The following is a 15,617-nucleotide window of genomic DNA, read 5'->3' on the forward strand; positions in this document are numbered from 1 at the left end:
TTACACATACCTTATCGAGAGTTTGATTCATTAAGTATTTTTTTTCTTTGAATGGAGAAACAGAGAGGTATAAAAGAACTTATCTTAGGGTTGTCATGCAGAATATGAATTGATTCTCACTTTAGTGTTGCAGCTTTAATAAAGATCACAGTAGCAAAAACATCAGCATCAAATATTCATTGAGCACATACTATGTACCAAATCCTGTTCAAGGCATTTATGTTTATTTTTTACTATCAAAACGATGCTTGTGTATAGTATAACAAACTGAAAGAAGGGGAAAAAGAAGAGAAAAAATCAAATCGTACAAAATTCATAATGGAACATACTATTTTCCTGCTCTAACCGCTCCTATTTTGAAGTCCCCCTCCCCAGAGATAACCACTTCAGCTATTTTCAGTGTTTCTTTTGTTATTTACCTTCATATTTTCAAATGCAAAGTTTGCATTTCAGTATCTTGAATTTTCAGTTGTAAACATTATTTATTGACTTCCTGCCTTGGAAGATGAGGACTCGGGTTTCCTATGACACCTCTTCCACTTTCCCATCCTTTCATTATACCTGTTTCAAAGCCCTCGAAAAATTTAATTTCAGCACTTGCTTTATTATGATAGTATAATTATTGTTTACAGGCGAAAAAAATGTATAGCACTTTTGATTTTTCTTGCAGTTAATAATTGCTTCTCTTTTAAAAACTTAGCTTTCCATGTAACTATTACTAATTATTTCTTCAAACTCTTTAAAAACATTAACATTTCTCTCAGTTTACTGAAACACATCAAGTAATCTACCAGTTACTTTTATTTTTTGTTCTAGGAGACTAGAACTCTTTACCCTCCTGTTTATGTATGGGTGAGTTGCTCCACAGGCCACTGTACAGCTATTATTTGGAACCTTCCTTTACCATCATCTTTGGGATTGCTTGTTCCCTGGTTCCCATGTTTTCCTGTTTTTGATTTTGTTTCCTTGTATAATATCCTCATGAGCTTCCTGAGAAAAGAGTATGTGAAAGGTAATTTTTTGAGACCTTATATATCTTAAAATGTCTTTATTCTATCTCACATTTGACTGATAATTTGTCTGGGTATGTAATTCTGATATGGAACACATTTTCTTCAGAGATTTTGACAGCATTTTTGTCTTCTAGCTTTCACCACTGCCATTAAGAAATCTGATACCATTATTTTTGCAGTCTTTAAAATAAGATCTGTTATATTGCCCCTAAGAAACCCTTTAGGACTTCTTTATATAGGCTGTCTTGAAATTTCAATGTGTCTTGATAATAATTATGTTTCATTTCTTGTGCTGGGTATTCTATAAGCCCTTTCAATATAGAAATTCATGGCTTGCTATTCTGAAAATGTTCTTGAATGTTTTTAAAAATACCTTCTTCCTCTCTGTTTTCTCTGTTCTTATTTTCTGAAACTATTATTAGTTGGATGTTGAATTTGCTGGGTTTCTTATATTTCCTTTTCTATTTCTGATCTCTTTATATATATCTATTTCTAAAATATTGCCTCAACTTTATATTTCAACCCATCTAGTAATGTTTTTTTCAATTTCTGCCATTATATTTTAAATTCCTAAGTATTCTTGAATGGACTATGGAGCTAGAGTGCCTATGTTCATAACTCAGCTCTGCTGTGTGATCTTGGGAAGGTTATTTAACCTTTCTGTGCCTGTTTCTTCATTTGTAAAATAGGGATAAGAATACCTACCTCATACAGTTGTTATGGTAATTAAATGGTTTAATATTTGTGGAGCACTTAGTACAGTGCCTGGCACTTAGTAAGTTCTGCATAAGTGTTAGATAAATACAGTAAATAAAGAGCACCCTGTTCTTGTTTCATAGATGTAATATCTCCACTGATTTCTCTGGGAACATTATTGCCTTCTGAATTGTTTGTGTTTTTTTTTCTCTCTCTCTCTGTCTCTGTGTGAGTGTGTGTGTGTGTATGTGTGTGTGTGTATTAGTTTTCTATTGCTGCCTTAACAAATTACCACAGATATAAAGCTTAAAACAACACAAATTTATTATCTCACAATTCTGTAGGCTAGAAGTTTGACATGGGTCTCATCAGGCTAACACACAACGTGTTGGCAGGGCTGCTTTTCTTTTCTTTTTTTGTTTTTTGTTTTTTTTTTGTTTTGTTTTTTGAGACGAAGTCTCGCTCTGTCGCCCAGGCTGGAGTGCAGTGGCGCGATCTCAGCTCACTGCAAGCTCCGCCTCCCAGGTTCACGCCATTCTCCTGCCTCAGCCTCCCGAATAGCTGGGACTGCAGGTGCCCACCACCACACCCGGTTAATTTTTTTGTATTTTTAGTAGAAGGCAGGGTTTCACCATGTTACAGGATGGTCTCGATCTCCTGACCTCGTGATCCGCCCGCCTCTGCCTCCCAAAGTGCTGGGATTACAGGCGTGAGCCACCGCGCCCATCTGGCAGGGCTGCTTTTCTTTCTGGAGGCTCTAGGGGAGGATCTGTTTCCTTGACCTTTCCAGTTTCTAGAGGTTGTCTGCGATCTTTGGGTTATGGCTCCTTCCTCCCTCTTCAAAGACAGTGATGGCAATTCGAGTCCTTCTCATATCATGTAACTCACTCTATTCCATAGTCACGTCTTTCTCTTTCTTCTTTTGCCTTCCTCTTCCACTTGTAAGGGTCCTTGCAATTACATTGGGCCCATCTGGATAATCCAGGATAGTTTTCCTATTGTAAAGTTGACTAATTAAGAGCTTTAATTCCACCTGCAGCCTTAATACCCTTTTTGTCATATAACCTAACATATTCACGGGTTTCAGGGATTAGATCAGGATAGTTCTGAGGGACCGTTATTGTTGCCTACCACAGTGTGTGCATGTGAATTCCCTCAACCTGTGGGCTTCACTGAGCAGTGGCCTTGCTCTATCACTGGGGGGGCCTCTGACTTTCTGTTTCTGTAGGCCTTGTCTCTAGGACTGCTTACTTTCTCCAGAGAGAAGTAATTCAAACTTCTGTCAGTGGGTAGGAGGTGGGGACATCAAAACTGGCTGCTTGTTTTGAAGCTTAGTGGAGGGAGGAAGAATTAGCAGGGACCCACCACTTAGCAGGTAGAATTTATTGTAATTCCCAATTCCCAATACTGGGCCTCTTTTCCTATCTCTGCTTGCATGTTGGTCCCAGGTCATAGCTTCTTAACAGAGTAAAACTCTGATCTCCTTTGAAGGCCAGGAAGGAATAGTTAGTTGCCTGGCTGTGTGAAGCAGGAGAGGGGTGCTGAGGATCTGACACCTTCCTACAGAAACTTATTTTTCTCCTTTTCAAAATTTAATTTTGATATAATTTCAGACATATTGTAAAATTGAATTCTGTACAGAGAATTTCCTTATGCCTTTCATCCAGATTCCTCAAATGTTAACAGTTGTTTTATCATTCTCTCTCTAGGTATATATGTAAGCTGCTTGACAAGTGTATTAGTTTCCTATAACTGTGTTGCCATGAACTTCGTGGTTTAAACAAGGCAAATCTATTATCTTACAGTTTTGGAGGTCAGAATTCTGAAATTGGCTTCACTGGGCTTAAAAGTGAAGATGTTAGAAGGACTACATTCCTTCTGGATGCTCTAGGGAAGAATACGTGTCCCTGCCATTTCCTGCTTCTAGAGGCTGCCTACATTCTTTGGCTTGTGGCCCCTTCCTCCATCTTCAAAGCCAGCAGGTTAGCATCATCAAGCCTCAGTCTGACTCATCTCTATTTTGCCGTCCTCTCCTACTTTTAAGGTCTTGTGATTACACTGGACACACCTGGGATAATCCAGGATAAACTCCTTAAAGTCAGCTAATTAGCAGCCTTAATTCCATCTGCAACCTTAATTCCCTTTTGTCATGTAAAGTAACATATTCAGAGGTCTGGAGATTAGAACATGGACTGTTGTTCTCCCACATGTATCCATCATTCTTTAAGCATGTTCATATTTTCTAGAAAAAAGATATTCCAGGTTCATTTTGTACTTTCTTTACCCTGACCTTGAGTTAGCCATCTATTGCCTAGTTTGTCTTTACAACAACAATGGTGGATGCTATTAAAACTTTTGTTTGACTAATGAGGAAATATAAACTGTCAAGAGGTTGATTAACCAGACCGTGGTTACATAGCAGGAAAGGGGCTGACGACAAGAAAGGGACTAGAGTCTAAGTATATTTCACCTCATGCCTGTGCTCCTAACCACTGGACTACTTTGTGCGGTTAGCAACTTCACTTTCCAAAGGTAAAACCCATTTTGAGGTATTAGTATAGGGAAATATAATCTACACTTGCTAGCAGGTAGTATATATATAAATATAGCATCAATTTGAATTTGGGAACTTGGGATATGAATAGTATAATTATTCTTTGAGCAAATGAAAATGTGTGCTGAGTTGCTTGTGTGAGATAGGTAGTTTTCTAGCAATCAAATATATATATTTATAGTATATTCATATTATATTACTTCTAGTTATTAGAGCTCAATTTAATAATTCTTCATCTGAAGTTAATGATTAATTTAAGGACTGACTTGGATAATATTTCTTCTGTAACTTAATTATGTTGATTTTGGCATAACATTTAGTTTTTCATTTTTTTGTGTGCAAGGATGATATGTATGACTTAACAATGTGGGCCAGACTGTATTGAACCCAGTATAACAGAAATTGTTGGGATATTAACCACCCACACCAACCAGTATTTATAATAGAAATAAGCCTTCACCATAAAGCCTCTCCAACAGGCCTTGTAACTATAATGGCACTAGCAGGTGCCGCCACAATAAAGAAGCCAGCCTCCCCATGAACAAATAGTAAATTAAAAAAATCAATCAATCTGCAATCTCAGTTCTGGCCCCAGCGTCACTTCCAATAATGACAAACTCAGGGTTTGTCAGTGCATCGTTAATAGGTTAAAGACCTTCAGATGATTCTTTTAAAGTAAACCAGGCAAATTGGCTCCTTTTTTCCCCACAAGTGCCGCTTTGGAATTGGCATATAAATGCTGATGGGACTCATGGCCTGAGGGCAAGTCCTCTGGCCCTAAAAGCTGGCAGGAAATGGCAGGAGTTTGCAGGGTGGGCTGGTGACTCATGATGTGCTGTGGCATATCTTTGAGGAGAGCCAAGAAAGAGTCATTTATTCCTTGGGGCGTGAAGTCATTCAGCCTGGTGGGGCCCATGTGACTCACCTAGCCTCAAAATGTCATCTTTACCCCCTCCTGCTTCTTCCCTCTCTCCTCTTTCTAGAGGTTTGTGACCTACGATGGACTCCCCAGGACATGTAAACTGCTTTCTCACTTTTCTGCTTCCATTTCTGCTCCCCCTTCTCATTCCTGTTCCTGTTCTGAGACTGTCCACACCCTTTCTCATACTCTTCCTCACTGAAGCAATAATGGCCGGTCCAAGTTCTTCTCTGGCTTGGAGCTGCTGTGACAGACTGTTCATTTGCTTATGTAGGTCTGTCCCTGAAGAATAGTTCGAGAACCTTCTGCGGAATTTCAACCTTACTTGAAGTTGGATTATGTGCTATATTTCAGACAGCCATAATTCCACGCAGCTTTGTGTTGGGTCACAGATGTTTGCTATCTGGGCTCTGAAGTTTTTACGGAAGAGTTTATGTGTGATTTTTAACCCCAAGTGTTGCTGTGGTGCTAGGACTTAAAATTCTGCTCTGTCAGGATTCAGGTGCTGTAACTGAGATTTGTCCAGAGCGGTGGTTCTCCAAGTTTCCTGTGTGTAGGAAGGAGCTGGGGTTGTTTAAAAGCGCCGGTTCTGAATCAGTAGGTCTGACACAGAGCCCAAGAACCTGCATCTCTAACGAGCTCCCATGTGAGGCTCATGCTCACACTTTGAGTAGCAAGAGCTAGTGTGAGGTGACTTGGGGAATCTCAGAAATATCCCATATTTTTCTTCTGGAGATGTGTGAAAATTGCCACTGGTTGATAATGAAACATATGACTCCTTTTTTCCCCCTAGTATTTTCCTAGAACTTATCTCTTCAACCAAAGCACTAAATATTTTGCCACATAGCCAATGAAAAATGAATCATGTAGGGATTTTACATGTTTTCTTAGTTATGATTGCTTTAAAAATAGTGTTAGCACAGCATTCTTGTGTCCATGTGTAAATTAGAAATTTAAAAAACCAACCAAATCAAACAACTGTACATAACAACATATAAAGATAAGTTAGTTTCCTATATCACTTCTACACAATTGGAGGCATTCTTCCTTGGATCAGGGAGGGGATTTGTGGATGATTCATATTGGGAGGAGGGTGGTATGTGTAAAACAAAAAGTGAGAGCTGTATTTACTAAAAATTTTAATCTATCATTGAATGAAAGTTTCTTTACCCCCATTTCATATGTTTTCATTTTCATGCTGATAAAGGAAGAAAAAGTTTGACTTCCTCCCTCCTGTTAGACACACTTTAAATCAGTCCTTCTATCTTTAAATCTTTGCCTTGGGCAATAATCACCATAAAAAGGAACAGATCCGAGGTGCTGAGATAGTTCACCCAATTTAGGCTACCACTTTACTAAAACACCTGTAAGACACATCTAGCTGGTATTTTTAAACAATATTTTTCAATTTGGCTTTAGTTTTTTGGACAATTTCCTGGAGTGTATTTTCTTACTCTACCAGAAGTGTTTAGAATTGGATAATACAGTAATTTAGAAAAGAAAACAATAGATAGAGATTCTAACATAAAACTGAGCATTGGGATTCAAATCCATACATGTAAAGGTGTGTGTGTGTGTGTGTGTGTGTGTGTGTGTTATTGTTTCTGTTGTTGTTACTTGAGGGTATAGATGGTGGTAGAAGGCTATGGGAGAATTGGAAAAGCACTGAATATGTCTACTGTTTTAGTTCCCAAATCATGTAAGTCCTCTGAGGCACGGTTTTCTCATCCTTAAGATGGGAATGGTAAGTGGTACAGTATAGTTGCCTACTTCATATCTTTTTTGCAAATCAAATGAGAGAATGATTGTTTTGAAAATCATGAAATGATGCACAGAAATGAAATGAGTGACCTATGGTCAAAAGCTGAATTTCATCAAGGTAGGACTCAAAATACAGGTATAAGGACATTCCGCAAATACTCCAGTCTTGTGGCCCTTATACCCTGTGTGTTCTTTAATAGTTAAATAAATTGGTTCAAGTCCTGATTCCACATTCACATATGGTGAAAGACAGTGAACTCACTCACCTCACAAGCTTCAGGCCAACATCTATGGAGAGTCTCAAAGGACTTATATTTCTTGTGGTCACCTCCTTCGATTACTTTTACCTACTGAATTTCTGATTTCCTTCACATCTTGCCTTCTGTGGTTGGTCTTTTAACTCTGTCCCACACCATCCCTTTTGCTTGGGCTTTTTAAGGCAACTACTTACACCAAGTGGTTGTATGTTCATTGTCATTTTGCTGGTGATAAAAAGGCTTCCTTGCAGCAGTCCTAGCAAAGCAGATGCATCAAGTGCTGAAATAGTTCACCCATTTGAGTGATAAGCACATCTCAATTTGGACCAGTCACATTTCAAGTGTTCCATAGCCATATGTTGCTAGTGGCTACCATCTTGGATAGCATAGCTTTAGCACCACAAAGCACTGCTCTAAATTTTGAAATTACCACTCCTTCTTTAATGTGGGACATTTGGAATCTCAGGTAGAAGTGGAAAGATGGCCAGGCACGGTTGCTCATGCCTATAATCCCAGCACTTTAGGAGACCAAGGTGGGTGGATCACCTGAGGTCAGGAGTTCGAGACCAGCCTGGCCAACACGGTGAAACCCCATCTCTACTAAAAATACAAAATTAACTGGGTGTAGTGGCGCATGCCTGTAATCCCAGCTACTTGGGAGGCTGAGGCAGGAGAATCACTTAAACCGGGGAGGTGGAGTTTGCAGTGAGCCGAGATCTTGCTATTGCACTCCAGCCTCGGTGACAGAGCAAGACTCTGTCTCAAAAAAAAAAAAAAAAAAAAAAAAGTGGAAAGAAATAGTCTAAGAGGCCGGAGACAGTGTTTTAAAACATTTCTTTCTTCCTATCACAAATACATTATAATTAGGGATATATACACACCAGTTTCTAATACTAGTCGTTCTTTTCAACCCTAATCCAAATTTTCCTAGTCAGGTTTGGGAACCATTACCCTTTTCCACTAGCTAACCACACAGCTGTTTTGGTGATCTTGCCCTCTGATCCTTTCATCATTCAAGGCTCATTTCATGTTCCCATTTCTAAGAAGTACCTGACCGCTCCTGTCTTCATCTACTCCAAACCTCTCTAACATATGGAGTCCAGGCCATATGCCCTAGCTTTTAAGTATGTTGCATTTTGTGTCACTTATCGTTGTTTCACATGCATGTATACTTGTTTTCACAACTAGATTATATGACACATCATGGCTTAGAGGGAAGTACACGGGTCTGGGCTTCTGTCCTGTCTCTACTGCTTGCAGGCTGTGTGCCCTTAGATGACAACTTAGCCTCCTTGTTTCTCCAGTATATAGAGCACATACTATGTACTTCACAGGATCTTCATGAATATTAAATGCAAGAATGTACTCCTAAAGCCTATCCCTTAGTAGCTTCTCCATGAACAATTAATGATATGTCTCCTAATTGCTCCTGATTTATTGAGCACCTACCAAATACCAGGCACAGCCCTAAGTCCTGGGGATACAGTTGTGAACAAGGCAGGATTAGGATTCCTTTTTTGGGAATAGGGACCATGGGTTATGTCTCTGTTTTATTTCATGTTGTAAAATAGATTGTAGAATGTATTATAAGCATTTAACAAATGCTTGTTTAGGTAACATTATAGTCAAAATACAGAACAAAAATATGAGTCCACTGTGAGTTTGATGTGGGTTTGGTATCTACTGGCTAGGGTAAAATGGGTTTTCAATTTCTGTTTGGTTTCTTTCTCAGAAGGTATTCTTCAGAGGGTGTATAGTTTGACTGAGTGTCAATATGTTGTATTTTAAGTGGTATTTTGACAGCTCGAGATCAAATTTACTTTCCTGTATGTTTCACTTGAATATCATTCTAGGTTGTTTTAGTGTTTAGTCTGTATTGCCAATGGGCACTCAAAACATTGAAAATTACATGGAAGGGCTATGGAACACAGGAAATTTTAGAACAGGAAATCTCTGTAAGTCTAGCTGAGTCTACAATTGTGGCACCCCATAATTATTTTCCTTTGTAATGCTTATCTCCTTAAAATATATAGTATTTGTATAAATACACATGTATATATGAACACTACATATGTATTAGCCATCTGAACCTGCATAGTAGATTGCACTGTGCATTTACCTCTCTCTTTGTAAAGAAATCCCACTAAAACTTATTTAATACCATGTTCTTTCTGGGCTTAAGTACATGACCCTTTTTTCTGTTTTCTTTTTGGCATTTAGCCTTTGCAAATCTTCCTTTATTTTGCTACCTTGGAATTGAGGATGTTCTTAGTGAATTCCCTTTACATTTTCTTTTTTTAATAGAGGAAAGTAGAGCAACTGTGTTTCCAACCTTTGTAAATAATTAAGGTCCTTGAGTCCTTGTATCATTCTGGTTGCCCTCTGTTGTACCTTCTTGATTTCAATAATATTCTTTTCATATTAATGCGATCTGTCTTGTAGGACTGCTCTTGCTACATTCCAAATGGAGACTCTCTTTCAGCCCCTTCCATTATAATGCAATAATTGTTGTTGACCTGTATTCTCTGGTTGTGCACCCAGGATTCCATTTCTTATTCTTCAGCTGCTGGAATTTTCCCCTACTCCTTTTTCTTTCTATGCTTTCTTTATTATCCAAATGACTCATTAAGCTGTAAACTTCAGGGCTATCTTCAGCTTCTTTCTATCTGTCCTTGATCACAAATAGTCACCTGCAATAGGCGACTGCTTACGCTGAGAAATTATGCCTGCTGAAGATATAAATACACTCAAGAAGTAGTTGGAGACATTTAGACATGAGAGAGCCCTAATGAACTCATAAGGGGACATAGGCAGTAAATTGCTAAAGTTTTCTGGGTTCAAGGAAGTAATAGCCATGCTCAATGAAGGCCATTGCCATGTTGATGCCATTGGCAGAAATTACCACTGCCCTCAGTGTACCTATCTTGTAGGCTGCTGTGATATTTCCTGCCCTCCTCTGATCCACCTTGAGTCTTCCAATTCTTCCCTATGTCTCTACTACATGCAGTTTCTGGTTTACTTCTTGGATTACCAGAACATTCTTCTTGCCCGCTTCTAATACACTGTCTCTTTCCACTTCAAATTATTCTGCACGTGGCTGCCAAAATAATTTTTCATGCCTGGCACTGGGATCATGGTACTCAGTGAGTTAATCCTCCAGTGAGTCTTCATGGCTCTAATCAAATAAATCCTTCCACTGTTGCCTTTGAGGGCCTCCAACAACTTGAACTGGACTTGCCTGTTCGAAGTAATCTTATGCCATTTCACTGCCTTCTTGTCACCTAGCTACTTCTGCTAGATTTGGCCCTTCTTCATGTTTGTCCCCTTCTCCCCTTCCCAGTTATCTCAAATGCATGTTTTAACACCCTCCCAACATCTTTCAAATCTTCTTTCTCCATCTCTTTAAATTACTAATGTCCAACTTCTAAATGTTTTGCCTAAATAACATTGACCAATCACAATCCATTGTATCAGTACTCTGCTTCTCTCAAATATATTCATGCAATAATGATAAAATGCAAATATTTGTTTAAAACCATGCCTCCATGTAGTCGTATTCATTAGATGTGCGTATTCATTCCAGAAGTGCCAAAGTGACTGGAAATTTGGAGCAGTTTTATCAACTATTGTCAGCTAATGTGCCAATTGGTTTCAAAAATCAGACAAACTATAATGACTTGTAATAACTTGGTTAGTAAATCTTTGTAGCAAATTTGAAATGACTAGAAATATCTGGGTCAGAACAACTTAACTTTTTATGCAATAACTCCTAAGGGATTGTGGGGTGTGTGTGTGTGTGTGTGTGTGTGTGTGTGTGTGTGCTGGGAGAGGGGTAGGGGTATCAAAATGAGCTAGGCAAGATTTTTAAGAACACAAATGTTTGAGACCCCCTGTATACCATTCAGTTTGCACTTTGATAAATCTGTTTTATTTTAATGATTTTCTTGTCTTATTGATGACGGCCATTTTATGGAGTTGCTTTTATGGCAGCCCAGATGGAGCTATTCTTACAGCAATCTTCATAATAATGTGATCACACTCTTTGAACTGCATTTCATGACTGCCCAGTGATGATTCAAAGGGTGCAAAATAAGACAACATTTCAATGTTATTTATATATTCCTCCCCTTCCCTCATACCCTACCTTGGGGGAAAGATTTAAGGTAGAATATCCTCAACTTTGGTAATTTTGTGGTGAAAGAAGCTCTCATTTCTCACTGTTGAGAATGAAAATGATTCCAAACTTCCCTAATGGCATTTTGCCAATGCATATCAACAGCCTGTATTTCCACTTCTAGAAGCCTATCATCAGGCAATCAGAAATATTATACAGGTTGAGCATTCCTTATCTGAAAACGCAAAATCCAAAATGCTCCAAGATTAAAAACTTTTTGAATGTTGACATGCTAGTCAAAGGAAATGTTCATTGAAGTATTTCAGATTTCAGATTTTTGGATTTGGAATGCTGAGTGCATAATACATTGGTATAATGCAAATATTCCAAAATCTGAAAAATCCAAAATCTGAAACACTTCTGTGCCCAAGTTTTTTGGATAAGGGATACTCAACCTGTAAAAGATTTTTAGGCAACTGTGTTAGATTGTATATAAATGGTTGGATTATGGTTATACTCTTATCGTGTCATGGTATAATCCTTCTTTGTTACTCCAAGGTGCCATGTTGAAGAGCTGTGTCTAGAAAGTAAACGTTCTCGTAATGGCATGCCAGGCAAAAACTGAATCTTAATGACTTTCTAGAAATTAGAAAAAATGCCCTCTAAAAAACCCAGTTTCTGTATTCTAAGATGAGAAAATTCAAGTTGTCTTTGGGAATTCTTCGGTTGTTGACTGAATTAGCCATATGTTGGTGGCCTGCATACCAACCCTGGACTGTACACCTCTGGATTTCATTTTCATGAGCATAAATAATCTTCTGTCTTGTTGAAGCACTTGTTATATCCAGTTTCTGTTATTAGCAGCTAAAAATAATTTCTAACTGATGCAGGATATTTATATAATACTTACAAGCTGGCAGAGTTTGGGACATCCAAGTTAAAAATATTCTGAAATTATTTTTTATTTTACTGAAGACTGTGTTTTAAGTGTGTGCTGTTTTAGATAAGTAGTAACAATAGTAATATTAGTATAGAGATTTATAGTTTGCAAAACATACCTACAGATCTGATTTTATTGGCTCATTACAAGCCTTAGCAAGGGTTTAATGGAAAGCAAATTAATGAGGTTACTTGGAGGGGGAGTTCTAGCTTTGGAATTGGCACTAGCTACTCCTGTGACCTCAGGTAAACATGGTAAGGAGGCACATACTCCCATTGCATAGAGGAGAAAACTGGAGCATAATGAGGTTAAGTAGCTCTTCCGAAGCTCTTGGATTTCCAGAGCTCAAGAGTCTCTTCCAGTCTTAAAACCCTGTCCTGCTACTGTATTTCTCACCTCAGCCAAATACTTACTTCTTCCATCTCAGGGTCCCTGACTATCTTCAAAGTTTTCTTTTTTGCATTTCCTATATGAGGGGCCAAAACTACAGATTTCAGATTTTTGATGAAATACTAGGCTAGAAAAACAGAAAAGGGCAGATAAACAGAGAGACCCTACATTTCAAGAAAATTGGAAGAGACCCTTTGTGGAAAGGAAGACTGTTTCTATGAGTTTACTATGCAAATGGCTTGCTTTAGTCATTTATTTAACCTGCCTGGCTCCCTTAGGCATTTGGGTTTGCAGTCCTAGACTAGATGACCTTGAAGCTTCCAGGCAGCTCAACAACATGTGACTGTCAAGAGAGCAGGAATTGCCAGATAATATTAGGAACAGACCATCCAAAATACTTACATCTTGATTAGAAGATAGGAAACTTTATAAAAAAATGATGAATTCTATATGTAATATTTTTAAGCATTAGATACATGCATTTGTAGTATTTGTGACATGTAACTAAGACAACCATTTTAGCTTAAGGCTCTAGAGCTATGCTTTTTAATACACTTGCTGCTAGACACATTTGGCTATTTCCATTTAAACTGAAATTAATTAAAATGAAATAAAATTAAACAATTCATTTCCTCAGTCCCACTAGTCACATTTCAAGTGTTCCATTGACACATGTGTCTGGTGGCTGCCATGTTGGACAGTGCAGATTACAGAACATTTCCATCACATCATCGCAGAAAGTTCTGTTTAACAGTGCCACTCCACATCAGTTGTTCTCAACTTTTCTATACCTCCAACATATCTGAGGTATATAATACAATGTCATTAAAAACAGTACCTCTCACTGTGCTTTAGAATCTGGGTGAAGGGTAGTCCCTAAAAGGCCCCAGTTTATTCTCATATGTGTTCTCCCACTTCCATTTCCCACTGAGAATCTCTATTCCTGAAAGCTTGTAGAGGTGTAGCGCTCAGTCTATGATGCACATTGGAATCACCTGGGAGTTTTAAAAATTATTGGTGGCTAGCTAGGTACCACTCCAAGGAATTCTGCCTTAATTAGGCACTGGGATTTTGAAAGTCTTCCCAGGGGGTTCTAGTGGGCAACCAAGATGGAAAAAGCCACTAACCTGAAAGGGATTAGTAGTTGGTAGTTAACAGATTAGCACTTGGTTGATCCCATTAGGAAATTATGAATACGAAGTTATATTTTACTTCCATAAACATTTCATAATGACTTCCCTCTAATCTGCTTTTAAAAAAATATATATATATATCATTTATAGTTACTTTAATGAAAGGTCATCAGAAAATAAAAGTTGTGACTTGATTAGTAAAAATTATTAAACAGGTGAATTTCGAATTTAAAACCCTTCCAATGACTTCCTGTCTCCCTTAGGATAAAGCAACAAATTACAGACTCTCCTTAGCCTTTGCTTTAATCTCTGCCTTCTAACTGTATTATATGCTTTTAATTCCTTAAATGTGCCATGCTGTCTGTTGTTTCTGGGACTTCACATGTATAATTCCCTCTGCCTGGAGCCCTTTGTTCTCCTTCCTTCTTCCACTGCTGCCATGATCCTTCCCCTTCACCTGACCTTTAAATCTTAGTTTCAACTTCACCTCTTCAGTGGGGACTTCTCTGATGGAGACTAGATTATTGTAGCACAGGCTCACAATAATGTTTCACAACCATTCTAAGTGCTCTCCTGTATTTTCTAATCCTCTTGCACATAAGGCAGAGTTATGTGAGTTTTTCTGGGCAAAAAATGGTCAGAATGGAGAGAAGAAATGGCACGAGGCAATCTCATAAGCAGTGAAAACTCATGTTTGATTTTTTTCTATCTCCTTTCTGCTTCGTGGTGATAAGTAGCATTCCAGACAGTAGAATCTCCTTCAGTCTGAGCTACTATCTGACCATGTGGAGTACAGAGCACCAGTTGAATATGGAGCAAAGATGAGAAAGTAATCTTTGTTGTGATGAGTTTTGGTGGTTACTTTGTTATTACAGCATATGCTAAATTATCCTGACTAACAGATATATTTCCTCTTAGGTGCTCTCATTGCAACAGTGGTCCTCACTGTCACTGGTTCATGGTGTGATGAGAAAAATAAAGATAATGTAATGAGGTTTCCCTAAAACTAAATTTCTTCAAATTAAATAACTGTTATTTATTCTACTATTATGTCTTCTTATTTTAGGGGGTTAAAATTTACTGTTGTTTTTGAAATGTTGGTGGGTAACACAAGTCTATAAATATGACTATTCTAAACTGGGAGCATTCCCTTTGAAAACTGGCACAAGACAGGCATGCCCTCTCTCACCACTCCTATTCAACGTAGTGTTGGGAGTTCTGGCCAGGGCAATTAGGCAGGAGAAAGAAATAAAGGGTATTCAATTAGGAAAAGAGGAAGTCAAATTGTCCCTGTTTGCAGATGACATGATTGTATATTTAGAAAGCCCCATTGTCTCAGCCCAAAATCTCCTTAAGCTGATAAGTAACTTCAGCAAAGTCTCAGGATACAAAATCAATGTGCAAAAAGCACAAGCATTCTTATACACCAATAACAGACAAACAGAGAGCCAAATCATGAGTGAACTCCCATTCACAATTGCTTCAAAGAGAATAAAATACCTAGGAATCCAACTTACAAGGGATGTGAAGTCCTCTTCAAGGAGAACTACAAACAACCACTGCTCAATGAAATAAAAGAGGACACAAACAAATGGAAGAACATTCCATGCTCATGGATAGGAAGAATCAATATCATGAAAATGGCCATACTGCCCAAGGTAATTTATAGATTCAATGCCATACCCATCAAGCTACCAATGGCTTTCTTCACAGAATTGGAAAAAACTACTTTAAAGTTCATATGGAACCAAACAAGAGCCCACATTGCCAAGTCAATCCTAAGCCAAAAGAACAAAGCTGGAGGCATCACACTACCTGACTTCAAACTATACTACAAGGC

The 15,617-nt window shown here is 38.2% G+C and overlaps 1 long non-coding RNA gene across 1 annotated transcript in view, besides 2 other annotated features; it reads left to right on the forward strand.

The window, feature by feature from the left end:
* BALR6 (B-cell acute lymphoblastic leukemia associated long RNA 6) overlaps nt 1–15,617 on the forward strand; it is a 306,371-nt gene that overhangs the window by 131,490 nt on the left and 159,264 nt on the right. The gene's annotated exons all lie outside the window — the stretch shown is intronic.
* Nucleotides 4,591–5,790: an enhancer, noted in NCBI's record as "P300/CBP strongly-dependent group 1 enhancer chr3:18140124-18141323 (GRCh37/hg19 assembly coordinates)". NCBI's record gives its function as "activates an origin of replication core promoter dependent on BRD2, BRD4, P300/CBP, MED14 and CDK7 cofactors, with strong dependence on P300/CBP, by STARR-seq in HCT116 cells {active_cell/tissue: HCT116}" and the evidence as "EXISTENCE:reporter gene assay evidence [ECO:0000049][PMID:35650434]".
* Nucleotides 4,696–5,331: an enhancer, noted in NCBI's record as "NANOG-H3K27ac hESC enhancer chr3:18140229-18140864 (GRCh37/hg19 assembly coordinates)". NCBI's record gives its function as "activates a minimal SCP1, AML or CMV promoter by ChIP-STARR-seq in naive and primed H9 embryonic stem cells {active_cell/tissue: H9 hESC(naive and primed)}" and the evidence as "EXISTENCE:reporter gene assay evidence [ECO:0000049][PMID:30033119]".

Source organism: Homo sapiens, chromosome 3 (genome assembly GCF_000001405.40).
Source record: "Homo sapiens chromosome 3, GRCh38.p14 Primary Assembly".
Taxonomy (NCBI): domain Eukaryota; kingdom Metazoa; phylum Chordata; class Mammalia; order Primates; family Hominidae; genus Homo; species Homo sapiens.